The sequence below is a fragment of the Homo sapiens genome, chromosome 1, assembly GCF_000001405.40.
Source record: "Homo sapiens chromosome 1, GRCh38.p14 Primary Assembly".
Classification (NCBI taxonomy): Eukaryota; Metazoa; Chordata; class Mammalia; order Primates; family Hominidae; genus Homo; species Homo sapiens.
In genome coordinates, this window is record NC_000001.11 from 216,799,750 (window position 1) to 216,816,536 (window position 16,787).

A 16,787-nucleotide genomic window follows, 5' to 3' on the forward strand; every position below is an offset into this window, starting at 1 on the left:
CCAATCCCAGGCACATCATACATTCATAAACACAAACTAGAAAAAGCAAAACAGAAACATTCCAGGCACTTCCACGGGACTGGGTGAATTTATCTGGAATGATAGATGCACATGTCTCATTAGTCAGTAATTTGGGATTATCACTTATGTAGCCTTAGAACCATGTAATGTTCTTGAGGAAGGGGAGTCTCCCCCTCAAAAAAACCCCACATTTATTTGCAAATAAAAATATCCTTACTTATTGCTGTGAGGGGGAGAGGAATCTCAGCACTCAAATAAAATTATGCTAAAACAAAGAAAAGAAACAGAAGGTGCTAAATTAAGAAATGTAGACTAAAAATTCGGTTGTAAATAAGCTAACATTGCAGGTAAATTTGAACTAATAAAACAGATGATTTTACTGAAAACTTAACACCTCTCAACACAGCTGTCTGCCCAGTCAGGAAACCATTAACATATTGTCACCAATGCCCCCAGCACATTGATGATATGAATTCTAAAAACAATCCAGAACAACAAAAGGAATGAACCACCAAGGAACCAATGGCACATGGGCTTTCTCAATTGCCTTTTCATGGTGTGCCACTGTACACTGAAAAATTTGCAAAAGCAGCAAGAACACAGGCTGGACAGAAAAGGGAGGGAAGTGGTGGACAACTTTGAAAAGCAAGTACAAATATTTCAACCAACACATAAGACCGCTTAAGAAACATCTATCCAAAATACACAGTTAATAAACAGGGATATATATAGGGGGTTGTTAAAAGGCACGAAAGCATCCCTTTAATAATGATGTCATAATATACAGTACTGTATTTTAATAAGAAAGAAACATCATTTTCTCAAATTGAAATAACAAGGCAGGGGTCCTTAATTACTTTTGTGCCAGAAGCTTCTTTGAGGATCTGATGAAAGCTGGGGACTTTCTCTGAAGAAAACTGCATATGCTCATAAAATTTAGTACTCCATTTCACAGAGTTTACTAACTCCCATCTCTGCCCATTGTCAAACTCATCCCTACATGAGTTCTCTGTTATCTTGTGGGTTCATGTATTAAAGGCTTATAAATCCATGAGTTTATAAAGTCCTGTGCTAAAGAAACATGCATTCCGACCTTAGGATAAGGGTTTGAAGGTATTAACATATTAACAAACTGAATAGGAATTATAAGAAACACTTCATTTAATTGATTGTGTGGTATACAATGATATTCATTCAATTTCACACCAATTCTTTTTTTAATGTTATTGTGTATTTTTAAGGCATACAATATGTTTTGATATACATATAGTGAAATGGTTACCATAATGGAGCAAATTAACATATCCCTCATCTCACAGTTGCCCATTTTTTATTGATTGCAAGAGCACCTAAAATCTACATTTTTAGCAAAAATTCCAAATACAATATTATTAACTGTAGTCCTCATGTTATAAATTAGATGTCTAGACTTGTTCATCCAACATATCTGCTATTTCAGAAAAAAGTTAATTGAATTTTTTTGAGATGGGATCTTGCTATGTTGTCCAGGCTGGACTCGAACCCCTGTCTTCAAGTAATCCTCTGGCCTTGGCCTCCACAGTAGCTATGGCTACAGGCATGCCAGCACTCCTAGTTCTATATCTGCCATTTTGTATCCTGTGACCTACTACTACCTACCCCATTTCCGACAACCCCCTGCCCCCTGTCCCTGTTAACCACTGTCTTATTCTTTATCACTCTGTATTCAACTTTTCTTTTTCAAAGATTCCACATATAAGTGAGATCATCCAGTATTTACAATGGGGGCACCAACCTACATGCTCACCAAGAGTGTACAGCGTTTCCTTTTCTGCACACCTTCGCCAACATTTCTTATCTCTTGTCTTTAAGGATAGCCATCCTAACAGGTGTGAGATGATATGTCATTGTGGTTTCGATTTGCATCTCCCTAATGATTAGTGACGTTGAGTACCTTTTCATATACCTATTGGTCATTTTTCTGTCCTCTTTGGGAAAATGTATATTCAGGTCCTTTACCCATTCTTTTAAAAATTGGATGGTTTTCCTGCTATTGAGTTGTATGAGTTACCAATTCTTGATAATTAGGAGTTGATTTCTACTTCAGAGGAAATCCTGCTTATCTGTTTTTCCATCTGGTTCCTATTGCATACATTTGAGGCATCCCATTACTCAAAAATACTCTGCAGATGGAAAGCAGAGAACATTTTATAAAAAGGAGAGACAAAAATGAGTTCATTGTACACTTGTTAGCTCTGGTAATCAGTTAGTTTGCTTATTTATTCAATCAACAAACCATGAATACTGACTATGTGTCAGAATAATGGTTAAAAAAAGACAATGTCCCTTCCCCCAAAGAGCAAACCATCCAGTGTAGTGACTGCAGAAGCATCAAACTAGGCTGTGATGCTATGTGGAAAGCCTGAGGGGTGCTTTTTTTCTGTTTGAGGAAGTGTGGAAATTGAGCCATATGGAGGCCAAGCAAGTTTTACCCAGGGAAGAGGGAATAGCAATGCACATCTTCCCAAGAAAATGGGGCATTGGGACAAAGGAAGTGGGAGAATTGTAGTTTGGTTGGGTCAAACTGGGTATTTTTAGAAGAAGCATGGCAGTAAGAAAAGTCAAAAAAGAGAGAATTCACTGAGAAGTGTCTGATATTGCCAAAAGCTAGCTTAAAATATCCAATAAAAGTTGTAGTTGGAAAAGAAATAGAAATGCATGAACAAAATCAAATAACTATATTCAGGACCAGCTACATAATTTGTGGGGCCCAGTGCAAAGTGAAAATATCAGGCATCTTGTTGAAACATTATTCAGAATTTCAAGATGGCAACAGCAGAGTAGTAAACCAAGCACAGGGCACTTCTGAGCATGGGGCCCTGTGTGACTGCACAGGTGACACATCCATGAATTCTGATTGTATTAGACAGAAAATTTCAGATGTTTATGCCCATCCTTTACTACCCCAGTTAAATATCCCCCATTTATCAAAATGATGACCAAGAAGCACTTAATATGTGCTAAGCACCAGGCTGGGAACTTAATTCACTTAATTTTCTCAGCAAATCTATGAGCTAGATATTAGTATCCCCACTTATAGATTATAAAACCAAAGTTAAGAGAGGAAAAGCAATACTAAAAGGAAAAGTGATTTTACATATCTTGAAGACATTCCCTCAATTTCTCATGCCATGCTGTTTTAGTGAGTGCTCAATCGTCTTTTGGTATTTTCATTTCTTTCTATGGGTTCGTGTTTGCCTGGGCCATGAAAGTCCAGATTCTGTGACATCAGCCAGGGAGTTTGGGCTCATATTAGTAAAAACTGGAGTGAGAAGGGCCACATTTCACCATTCCAATGACATTACCCCACAGTGTCCCCCAACAGCTTTCTCTGGTAAGAACGTGGGGTGGATGTGGAGGGAACGGAATGCTGGCACACTCAGAAATGTCCCTTTTCAATACAGACACAGTTCTAAGGATAAATTATACAATTAAAATAGCACATCCACACTACACGAGTACAAAATCTATTTTAAAATAAGTTATTAAATCTTCAGAATCTACAGTAATTTCTGATTTCCCCCTGCAAACCTCCAATTAATAGTTTCTTAAAACAAAGGCTCAGTAGTGTTCAGACTCTTGAGTGTCCCCCGCCCCATCACCAAATGCTGCTGAATAACCAACATATGACCATCAATAAAATCCACTTTTCCCACTTACAGATGAGAATAAGAACTGCCACAATCACAACGGAATATTAATTCAACAGTAAGCACCAAAGAATCTAAATATTTACTAATATCCCTTAGATTTTTGTCTAGACATTTTTTTAGCTTATTTGAACAGGACATTCCTCTTACATTTTGGTTGGGGGTTTTGGTGGTGTATTCAGGGCTCTCTGTCGAGCCTCTGCCTTTGGTCTTAGCTGTACTCACACAATCCCTGCAGCTCCGAGCCCTTCGTGTGATTAATAGCTCTGCCAGCCATTCCTATTTAAAAACTATTCCTACTTTATGTCTTTTTTTTACTTGATTTTCTCTGATCCTTGTTTTTCTCCCCAGTAAAAATTACCCACTGTTAAGAGTTTTATTCCCACTCCAAAGCCTTGTAACTTTATTCCACATCGTTTTGTTTTGGGGAGCTTTTGTTGAGTAGATAATAGGGCAAAGCCTACTCACATTAAACAAGTAACTGGCCAAAAGGTTCTAACACAGGTTAATCTGCCAGTACCTCTCTCCCTCCATCTGCCCTCCCTTTCCAAATCCACAATTTTAAGGCAGAATAAAAAAAAAATATTCACACCACCAAATGGTATACCCTCTCACACCAAGCAAGCAGTACTTCCCTTGATCTGTTTCTGCACTGGAAGTGTAAGTTGCATTTTCAAAATTATTCTCTCAGCCCTGTGACAATTTAATTAATTTATTTATTTATCCAGTTTCTCAACTCTGTTTAGGTAGCAATGTCTCGTCAATATCTCATTCAGGTGTAGCATGGAAAAGCCTAACAACCCCGGGCCGGCAGCCAAGCTTACCAGTGACTGACGCTCGCTTAACTGAGCAAAGATTTGCTCTGCACAGAGTGGGGCTTGACTATACAAGAACCAGTAGTGACAGCAAGGATGCCGGCTAGAATCCTAACAAAGCTACTTCCAACTTGTGCTCAGGCAAGTGGAACCAACACTTAAACTGAATGTTAAGGGGCTTCAATCTTGGTACTTTTTAAAATTTTTTTTCATCATTTACCTTCCGAATAAGCCCTGGGATTTTAGAGAGAAAACAGCACATTAGCACTCTTAAATCACAAATCCTTGTATCTTTTTAAAAGGCTGTTGAAGATTTATTAACTTGTAGGAGCAATCATTTAATTGCTTGCTTCTGCTACACCACACACTTTTTTTTTTTAAATGACCAAATTAAACCTGCTGCACAAATTTGTGCTTTGAAGTTCATGCAAAAGGATCATTCCTTTGAGGGAGTGATAAAAAGAATTGAAATGCTCTCCTTTGGTACAAATGTCCACACATACCCCCCTTCCCCAACCGAGATACCTTCATATTACAGAAGCAAATCTTTCTCCTTTAAATGTTTCCAATTCATTTTCTAAGCCAGGTCAGAATTTCATTGTCACATTTCCCTCTGCAATTTCAATGAAAGCCCATAGCATTTACAAATAGAGGAACATTGTACTTACAATTTTGGGATGTGTAATGCAGCTGTGTATCTTATGAAAAAACTGTTATGTTTATTTTTGCTGTCCTTCCTGTTCAAAGACAACACCACTCTTGGTATAGCTGAAGAAATTAGTGAGAAACAGAAAGTCCTTTCCACACCACGAACATGTGAAAACTATTCTTTGAATCGAGATGTGGTGGCAGTAAGTAGTCTGTTGTTTGAGACTTTTGTCTCTTAGATCAAATTCAGCCCAAAGCCAACAAGATGATTTAACATCTAACCTCACTGAATTTGGTGACATGCAACTGCAGAATCAAATATTTAGACTAATTTCCTACTTCACCAATAAAAACAGTATAGACATGAATCGGTACACACACAACAGTCCCCTGATTTGCACATTTGTTGAGTTAGCTAGCAATATTCCGATGCTGTGTGTGGATAACTAGACAGTGTCAGAGTGACAGAGACAGTGCATCTGGGTTTTTAAAGTGCTGGATGCCTCTTACTTGGAAAAGAGCTCTGTTCCATTGCATCAGACACCCAGTAACACGATACCATGAACCTATGTGAGCATCACAAGTCCAGGCGGGTCACAAGTGAAATTCCCTTCGTTGCCAATTGAGATTGACATGTGCTGTTGTCATAAATATCACACTGTCCAATTTGGTCAAATTGGTGGTCTTGAGAATAAACAAAGGTACAGTCTACAGTCTGTCAAACTGAAAGGCATTTGCCGTGCTCAAGTGTTAGGCTTCCGCAGTGACAATTTGCTGAATCTCTGTCTGTTAGAACACTGTTTTGTAATTGGAAAAAAAAAAAAAAGGATTTTTTTTAACCTTTAGGTGTTCGGTTTTGTTTTGGCTTTGTTTATTTGTTTTTGTTTCAGTCTGTTTGTCAAGGCATTTAAGCCCAGAATACTACAAAAGGAAATAAGTACAGCCTCCCTGCTAGGGACATAAGAGTGTATGGATTCTGAAGGAGAGAAGATGACTAGAAGGCTGTTATAACTCCCTCAGAACCCAAACGTGGTTAGCTGGGAAACAGCATTTCTTCAGAGCCATCCTTTCTTTCCTCTATGGGACTTGGAACCTGGATGCTATAATTGAAAGCCAGTATATAAAGCATAACACTTCAGACTACTGTTAACATCCAGCCTCCTGCAAGGCTGCCTCCTAATAGCTCTGTTTTCTGCCTACAGTATGTGCAAGCAAGTGGAACCATCACATGCCCTGCATGCTAAAGGCCGCAGCCTTTGTCTTCTCCAAGTTCTGTCTATTTCAGAGGCTAACATGCAGCAATTAGTCTAATTAATGTGAAACAATGAGCTGTGTTACCACTTATCAAATTGATTGTTCCCCTATCAAAACAAAACAGGCTGGCTTTTTGATGTAATTTCAAGAGATGATTTGAAATGTCATGTTGCTGCAAGCCAATTACCTTATGACTAGAGTCACGGTCAACAGAATACATAATTAGCTTGAGTTTGGGAAGGCTGCTTACTGCTAGTATGTTAATTAACTGTCTTTTGTCATAAAACAAAAAGGTTGTACGAAAGGTTTTGAAATAGGTCTTTTTTATTTACATTTCTTTGTGCTTATCAACGTGAGGCATGACGATGCAAAAGAATAGAAAATTTTAATTCCACTACTTCAAATTAATACCCAGCTGCAAGGTCAGGCATAACGTGCAGGCTGCAATACCATTCACCTCACTCTAGTCCTGCCCCAGTGTATTATATTACTTGTGGAGTTAAATTAAGTATCGGGTAAAACTCGAATGTAAGAAATACTGAGCTTGAGGAAACAAATCCCCTAATAGACTTCTTTGGGGTCTCACATGTTTTTGTGCATCTTGCCAGGACTGGACAGTGTTCGGCTGCCCTGGGAATTACATTCAGGTGTCAGCTTTCAATCTTGAAATTTGGAGAGAATAAACCCATCATCAAATGATGTTATTGCCTTTACCTCAATATGGTAGAGACAGAATGCATAATGGGCACCTGTGGGCTAGTAAAGGAATCCTATCTGTGAGGCCAGGGCTCTGTAACTCATCTGTAGCTTCCTCTCGTATGTGATAGCTTGGCAATTCCACATTCTTGATTAAGGAACCAATTCTGAATTTCTTGAGCTTTAATGCATTCTGGGAGTAGCTACCATCAGTAACTGACAATTAACAATCAAGTCCATGGCAGACTTACGCCATGGTTTGACATGAATATTAGCAAACTAGCTTCTGGTTTGGAGAACAATTTGGAAGTCCCTCGAAGTCTAATACAATTGTTCCACCGTCGAATGGCATCCTTTCACCCGCAAAGACGGTTGGGAGAGGTTCTCTTGGGGATCTCATAATTGTCTATGAGAAATGTGTTACCATTTTGTGGGTGCTTAAAAACCCTTCAATTTTTCTCTGGATGTGGTTCAGGTCTGATAGTCATATTAGAAAGTTGATCAAGAGTCTGAGAAAAACATATCACATTGCTATTTTTGGATCAGTTTAATTTACAAACTAGACTTTCTGTTCTAACTTGTTTCCATCTTTCAACATAGTTTCTTTTATTTCTGATATAATTAAAATCCTTAAAATATGATATGGAAAATATTAAATAAAGGGGGCAATGTTTTTTCTTTTGGAATATGGGTTTCTCATTTTGGTAATGCAGGGTAAAGAACCTTGAGGTACAGATATCTGACAGAAAGGAGGCAGATCTCAGCTGTGTTAGACGGGAGAGAACAGTAAGTTTCCGGTATTCTCTTAATCTCTTTGCAGCAGATTCTCTACCCTTTGCCAATAAAAAAAAAAAATCATGAATTGTAATTATGGTCTTTACAGGGAGTAGATGGGTGAAAGAGAACCAAGATGAGGATGGCTATCTAAGAAGCCTGGCTCATTAAATAGTATTAATGCTAACCATTGCTGAGTGCTTTCTTGGTGCCAAGTATAGTACTAGTCCCTTTCTACATTTCAGACAAACCACAAAGCCCAATAGAGTCATGGGCTTAGTATGTGAGGTAGCTAACAACAAAAGAAATGTGCTAATTTCACAGCTGGGCATGGAGACTCTAGTGTGTCTGACACACTCCTGTTTTGGAATCAAAAGGTCTTAGAACCCTATAGTTGAGTGAAATCTTAGAGACATACTTAACCTCCGTTCCAGTGTGGAATTCTTTCTATACTGGCCCTGACAGATTGAATTGAGACTCCTTTCAGGGAGGGGTCTCTTTGATGGAATTTGGAGAAACATCCAAATATGCTCCAAAAGTTTTTGGATTCGTGCTGATAAGAAAATGTAGAATTCTTGATGTTTGGTTGCTATTATATTACTGTAAAGCTAAGGCAGAGCTCATAGATAACATGAGGTGCTACACTTCTGAACTTGGGTTACTTGGAAGGACAAGACAAAATCCATGTAAAAAGGCTTGGCTGAATAAAAGTCCTGTCTGAACGAGAGTCTTGGGTAAGTCTCAATGAGAGAGCATCAATGAATCTAAAATTTATTTATATATGTATTTACGTATGTATTTATTGAGACAAGCTCTGTCATCCAGGCTGCAGTACAGTGGCATGCTCATGTCTCACAGCAGTCTCAACCTCCCAGGTTTAAGCAATCCTCTCACTTCAGCCTCCCAAGCAGCTGAGACTACAGGCAGGTGTCACTCCACCGGCTAATTTTTGTATTTTTTGTAGATGGGGTTTTGCCATGTTGCCCAGGCTAGTCTTGAACTCCTGGGCTCAAGCTATCTGCCTACCTCAGCCTCCCAAGGTGCTGAGATTACAGACATGAACCACCATGCCTGGCCTGAATATAAAATTTTAAATGTGGGGACTATAACATCAGGTTTGATCATAAACAAGTGCAAAGGTTTACTTGTAATATTATTTGCTCCCAGCTCAGGTCCCAATTTGACCATTCCTCAGTTGATAAAAATCATTAAGCAGAACATCAAGTTTCATATGATATAATTCTGTCAAAGAATTTTCCTCCTATTTTTTTCTTTTTTTTTCTCAAATGGGAAAGAAAGAAGAAAAGAGTTAAAAGGGAAGGAAAGAAAGGAGGGAGAGAAGAAACTGTTAAGTCACTATTAGTTGCCAGGCACTGTGCTAGCTTACATGTCTATGTACTTTCGTACAGGGTGCTACGCTAAATTTTTGTACTACCTCATCAAGTTCTCATAGCAACCCTGCAAGGTGTGTACTATTTTTCCAACTATATCTTTTTGCCAATGTTAGTGATAAGTCAAGAAGCCTTAGAAAGGACAATTAAGCCAAGGCTCTGAAACTAACTTTGACTCTAAAATTCTACTCCTTCCAAATGCACAAGGCTGTTTGGTGTTTTTATTGTTGTTTTAAAATTTTATTGTAAAAGCTGAACTGAACAAGGGTCTGACTGCTTTTTTACAGTAAAAAAAAAAAAAAAAAAAAAACCCCATGAGAACACCTCCAATTGTCATCATTAAAAATGGAACAAAATGAATTGGGGACAATAGCTAGCTCCATCCTATGAAGCAGTATGATGAGTTACATTTCTATCATTTGAGGTCTTGAGGATGAGGGATTTAAGGAATGCTGAGTGATAGCAACATTTTTATGCTGAATTCCAAATGCTTTCCTGAAATTTAAGAACATTTTAAGACAAATCAGTGTGTTTAGAAAACAAGGTATTTTGTTATGTTGTTCTCCATAAAACCTAAAATTCCTCAGAAATGTTTTCTTCAGTTTTAAGCAAACCTTGAACATGTGCAGAAAACAATACTCAACGGAAAGCAACGTCTTCACCAGCCCATCTAACAGGTGGGCCCCTCAAGCCAACAGGACTGTTGCCGCTCTTACTGCAGACGTAAGGGTAGAGGAGGGCTCTCTGGAAGGACCAGGATGTGGCACAGCTAAGGGGCATGAAATGAGCTGTCCTCATAGGCACATTCTTGAAATGGCAGTCAGGCACTTGGCTCGCCTCTACCACCTTGCACAGAGCTAAACATCTCTTTATGTCAGAACAAATTGAGCAAGCCTCAAATCTTTTTTCTTTTCTCTGACATCAATGAGATGAGTGCATAAGCTCAGGGAATGAATGAGGAAGAGAGAGACAGAAAGGGGGAGGAAAAAAGGACAGTTCAGTTCACATGAAAGCACTATGACACAGCTACACACCTGCAAACTGTTCCTAGGAGCTCTTAGAATCTTTTATGAGTGGTGGTGGCGAAAACAGAGAAGCAGCAGGGCCAAATCACCACTTTCCTGCACTCAGATCACCAGGACTCAAGTTCTTTCCCCACACCTGCACCAGACACTTCAAGACATGCCTCCATGCCTTTGCGCAAATGGCAGAAACGCTTGGCCCTTTTTTCTATGCCATCTATTCCTTTTGCTCTTGCTTACAACCTGCTTATCTATGTTCAGAGCATGCAGCATTATAAATTAATCCTTACATGATTTCACAGTGGCATATATGTCAGTGTTTCTGTATGTTAAGTCTCAAAGAAAATGTAAAAGTCCAGAAAGTATCCAGCTGGGAAGATGGCAAGACAGTACACAAGGGGAGGAGACACAATGTTAGAGAACAGCTGGAAAGCCTCAAAATATATCTGATAAAAAGACAGTGGTATACAGAATGTGGTGGTCAAGTAATAGAAGGCAGAATATATATATTATATATATTATAAATTATATATATAATATATATATCTCCATGATATTCTATATGGTATATAGTTTATATATAAAATCTGCCTTCCAAGTATTGCTTTTTGGAAAGTAGAGCTAATTCTTAAACAAAAATGGATGTGTGTGTGTGTGTGTGTATGATATACACATGTATATATATAACTCTATGATATATATAACTATGATATATATACATGTATATTTAACTAATATATATAACTATGATATATATACATATATATAACTCTATGATATGTGTGTATATATGTACATATATATAACGTTATGATATACATATACATATATCCATTTTTAAGTAGCCTCGCTTTCCAAAAAGCAATATATTTAGGAACAGACCAATAGAAGAGGCATAGAGAAACTAAAATGTAACCTGCCTTTATGCACAGCCCTGATCATACCAGATCACTGGGCACTGTTTTGAGAGGCAAAAATAAATTTCAGAAACTAAAGAGAATAACAATGAGTAAAATACTGGATTACTGGATTTAGCACAAATATGAAGAATGTGAATTCTACAAAGATTTCCTTTTTAAATAAGAGATGATGGTTGCTCTTGAGGAAATGTTTGGTATGGGAGAAGATAGGACCTATCAAATAAGATGAGATAATATAAATATTTCATTTAGTCGTTATCATCTCTTTATGATGATGAGAAGACATTATTACCATATTTTTTATTCTAACTCATAAAAAATGGTCTATCGTCCACATTTGTAATGGGCTACAGCACACTAATCTTAGTTTGGCATAAAGCTCATACAAACCACTCAATATTTTCAATATAAATGTAATGACTTCTGATTTTAGGGAAACATAACAATGCTCAAAAAAAATCACTCATTAACTCTAACCTCTCCTATTGGTCATTTATGTAAGTACGCGCACTTGCAAAAAATAAAATAAACTTTCTGCATATTCATTATGAAGAAGACGGATGACAATCAGTAGGAGAGACAGCAAATTTCTTCTTGAGGATTAGGCTCCAATTGGTTGAATTTCAACATCAACCTGGCAATTTTACTATTAAGTCAGCAGAAGTGAGTTCTTATACACTACGCCACTTACTACCGGAGAACATCAGGCAAAGGGAAAAGAACACGCTAGAATAAATTGTGCATTATTTCTGGCATTAGTTAAAGGAACAGAGCATTATAAGAAAAAAATACAGTACCATTGATTTTTACAGGTGTTTAATACAGATAAGCTGAAAAAAGGGTTTCCATTTTAAGCCTAGTGATGGCTAAAGATGCATTCAAATATGTTCAAAAGCAATCTAAAGTCTTATAAAATGGTGTTTAAGCTATTCAGGCAAAACGTAAATAGTTTTTGTCATAGTACTGAGGAATGTAGAACAAAAGCAGTGTCCAAGGAGCTGACTCTGGCACACGGCCGGCCACTGTCAAATCAGGGAGGTCATTAAAACAGAGGTAATACTGTTTATCCATTATATGATCAAAGGTTATTTAGGGAAAACAGTAACAGACTGTCCTTAGAAAGGTAGGAGGCATAATTACCCTGGAAATCTCCAAGTCCCACTCTCCAGAGAAGATACCAAAAGAAACAATTACGTTAAAGAGTCAAACATATGCTTAAAGAGTTACTATATAAAATAAGTAAATCCTTGATTTTTTTAACCTTGTCTGTTTTTAACATATTTCTTTAAAGCTCAATTTGAAAGAATAGGGAAATTTTTGCTTTTATTGAACAACCATAAGTAGATATACATTGAACTGCTTTGCAAAAACCAAATTTAAAAATAAGGTTATATCTGCACAACCACTCAATGGGTAATTTTTCTATTTACTTATTTCGGGGAGTCCCTTGGTCTCCAATTTCTGCAGAGCTGTGTGTTCATGTAGTAGATTGCATAATGAACATGGCAAAAAAAAAGAATAACTATTTTTGACCACACAGACATAGCACTCATAGATGCTATAAGAATATAGGTTTGTTTTTGGCATTCTTCACTATATACTAGGTTTTGTCTTCCTCTCTTTAGCAATCAGTCTTTCTTTCTTAGAAATAAATTTGGTAACTCTGGCTCAAATATAAATTCAATTTCTATGATTTCCAGCTCTTGCTCATCTTTTTAATCCACCCTGTTTTCTCCATGACCTTGGCCAGATACTCATTTCTCTTTCTCATTACTACTGTGATCATATCCTTACTGATGGTATAGTACATCCTCTTGAATAAACATCCAAGAAGAACTCATTGTTGCCCAAAGTCCCTCAGGTCAGTTGACCAAAAAACATGAATTTAGGGTCTATTTTCTATGCCATATAGCAATGAGGATAGGGCTGATATAAATGAGGACAGAAGGGGTTCCATATACAAAAATATCAGGCTCCATAACAAGTATTGGAATAATTACAAAACATGATGTTAACTGAGACAAAAGAATGCTGTGCAGCTGAACAGCTGAATGCTGTGGAGTACAAGCTAGAGGAGTAACTAGAATTAAGCTGGATGCAGTTGCTACACAGATGCCCAGTCACTAACAGATCTCGTGAGCTGTGATGGCTGATTCATGTTCTGGAAATGCTAGAGTAGAAAACCCACGACTCAGATACATTCGTCTGTTAAACACGTGATATGATCAGCTACAAGTCAGAGCACCTCAAGTCATAACCTTGCCAAGCCTGGTTAGTGATAATTCTGGACACTAAGTGGCTCAGCTGTGACCCTCTGTGTGTCTCAGAGTTTCCATATGGGAAATGTCATGGGACTCTTTTGAGTTATAAAGGACATGTAAAGGAAGACTTTGTGGTATCAGTAACTTAATAATATTCAGGAATCTCGTTATACTTGTAATATTATGGAACTTAGTTATAATGGGTCATGGAGTATGTCCCAACTCAGAGGATATCGAATCTGTATAATACAGATTTATAACTAGTATCTATTTTAATTCTACATAGGTTGGGTGATAGGGTGGCAAGAACATATATTTTTTTGAAGCCAGAAAATTAAGATTCAATTCTTCGCTTGACCAATGGTGAGCAATGTTTGGAAGTCATTTAAGTCCATCTGTGGCTTGTCTGTAAAGTGGTGAAATAGTAAAACCTGCCTTTTTCAGGGATGTCATAGTGAAGCTCAGACAGGTGGATATGCATGAAAGTGATCATAAGTGCCTGCACACTATACACACATAATTGTTATTCTTCTTTCCCTAGATTTGTACTACAAAGTCCTGCTTATGTCGGGGGGACATCACTCAGAAAACACACTCATTCCCCTAGGAAAGAATTCTTACCACTCTTGTGAATTTGAGGAATAGTATCTCAGTTGCATTAACTGGTGTTTATTAATGTATTATGAGCCTCTGCTGTGGCATCTGATTCACAATAAAGAGATTAAGCATGCTAATTTGTCATTTATTTTCCAATGCCTGCTTTCCTGCCTGCAGCACCACTAATATCCCAGGAGCTCCTCAACCCAATTATTTCCCATTTTGCATTACTGCTGAAAGTAGTGCTAATGTGCCCAAAAGGCTTAAGTCCTTGGTCATGGGAAAAAAAAAAATGATGCTTCTCTCCCCACCACAATGCTATTGTCATTTGCTGAGAAGAAACACCCCTGGACCACTGGGCCATATCTAGTAATCAAACCAAATTAGCAGCCTGACTGCACTGTGGACATGAGCAGCAGACCTGTGCTTATTTAGTATTTATTTTTGGGGTGGAAGAGAATTCCATCTGTAGAATGAAATTCACAACCTACAGGGAGTTGAATTATACGATGGTTATATAAACAGTTTTGTTTGCTTGTTTGGGGAATTGCTGGTCAAAATCACTCAAATAACTGGTGAACTCAACTTTTTCATCTCAAAAAATTAATAAGCAGTTGTTTAGCCAAATCCAAATATTAACTTGCAAACTAATTTGTGAATACAGACACAACTCATTATTAATAGAAGCAGCATAAAGATTTCTCATTTTCTATGCTTTTAAATCCAGCCTTATAAATGTTTTTTAACCTAACCATGTAATATTTCTGCTACCTTCCTCAGTCTTTCACTTTGAAATGCGCTTTTTGCTCATCCCAGGAGTTTCTGTATTGCTTGAGGCAAAATACTCCAGCACACCTTCACAACTATAAACTGTAAACATTTCTCTGCCTTTTTCTGTCCAAGGCTCAGAGCCCGTTTAAATGTCGGTGGATAGTTTCAGAAACATACTAGACTCCACAGTTGCCAAAAATAATTATTGTCAAAACTTGCCAATTTCCCCAAGAACGTAAAACTTATATTTTTAAAATTTGATAATTTTAGCTGTGAGGAGATACTGATTGAAAACAGATTGTTATTTATTTCAAAGATGTTCAGCACCAAAGATGAGATGCAGCAGATTAAGTTAATCTCTATGAGGTTATTTCTTACCATTATTTTCTTAAATCCTCCCCTCACTTTAATCAAGAATAGGAATGTTAAGGGCTTGACGCAGGGAAGAAGCATAGATTAGCGGTTAGCATAATAGCATGAAAGCCAGGAAATGTGAAATCTATTCTGGGCCAAGTGGTCTTAGGTGAGCACATTATTTACAGCCTCAGTTTCTCCATATATAAAACCAAAAGCATTGCACACACTGAAAATGAGAGCTTCACTGTGCTGACATTGTTCAGTGCTGACTATGTGCCAGGCACCATGCTCAGGGCTTTAAAAGGATTACCTTGTACAATGTTAGTATCTACTTCTTAGTAGATAATATTATCATCCAAAGTTTACAAATAAGGTAACTGAGGTACAGAGACATTAAGTAAATGGCCACACAGCTGGGAGCCAACTGAGGAGGCTGAGCTCTAACCCACAGACAACACTGCCCTCTAAATTGTTGGTTTGGCATTATCTGGAAGGGCTTTGTGGAGTGGGATATGCTACACACCTAATCCAGAAAATTTCCAGAATAGTGGCCCAGATTTTTCTCTCTCCTTTTGGGGCTCTGTGCCACCTGCCCTGGGAAAAAGACCACCCGGGCTCAGGCCTCCCTGGCTTGGCTGCACCTGGTAGCCCCCACATACTGCAGTTGCGACACAACAGTGCTTTATCTGCCAACTGAACCCGAGACATTTGTGTTCGGTTCAGCGCAGCTGGTGGAGGGAGGCTCAGATTTCCGCCGCACTGAACACAATGAAGCAGCCCTGTCACAGGACCATTACGAAAGCACATGCTCCCTGGCTAATTTTTGTAGCATAAGGGTGTAGACTATTTAAAACTATTCCCCGCCCCCAGCTCTTAAATGCCTGCCTAGGAGTCAAGTTCATCCAGGGGTCTATTGGCCATATGTTATTTGGTGTCACTTGTTTTTCTGCATATTGGGGAACACACACACACACAGGAAGTGGCTTCCAGAGGAAAATGTTTATGATTGCTGGCAGCCTGGATACCAAATGGCTCACATGCAAAGTGTAAAGGAACAACGCTGCAGCTCCTCTGCTCAAACCTGGTGTCTGTAGGAAAAGCCAACTTGAACTTGACTTGCACAGATGCTAAAGAAATACCTCTTTCACTACCAGCATTCATCGTGGGTCATCAGAGTTAACTCGCCGAAATGGGAGCAAAGGTTTAAAGGTCTTATCACATCACATCCTGGAGTACTGTATGGAACATGGTTTCAAAATATATCACATTCATGGGTGTTCATTACAAACCGTGGTCATTTAATAACACATCTCATAATTGTGGACTTAATAGGAGCTATTAAAAATGATAAGTATGTGAGGTAATACACATGTTAATTAGCTCAATTTAACCATCCCACAATGTACACATATTTCAAAACATGTTGTGCCCAATAAATATATACAATTTTTATTTGTCAATTTAAAAAAAAGAGCCACTGATCTTCACATTCCATGATGTTGGTTAAACAGTGAATACTAACATAATGCCTTTTGTGGCTAGGCCAAAAGCAAATAAGCATTAAGCTACAG

General features: G+C 38.0%; 1 protein-coding gene across 43 annotated transcripts in view; it reads right to left on the reverse strand.

Moving 5' to 3' along the window:
* ESRRG (estrogen related receptor gamma) overlaps positions 1-16,787 on the reverse strand; it is a 634,457-nt gene that overhangs the window by 296,504 nt on the left and 321,166 nt on the right. For 2 of the 43 annotated variants that reach the window (XM_047449403.1, NM_001243514.2), the window contains exon 1: positions 5,194-5,636. The exons of the other annotated variants lie outside the window; for them this stretch is intronic. The gene's annotated coding sequence lies outside the window, so the exon portion shown is untranslated. Of the gene's footprint in view, positions 1-5,193; positions 5,637-16,787 lie in introns of those variants that run through there. 43 annotated transcript variants of the gene reach the window in all.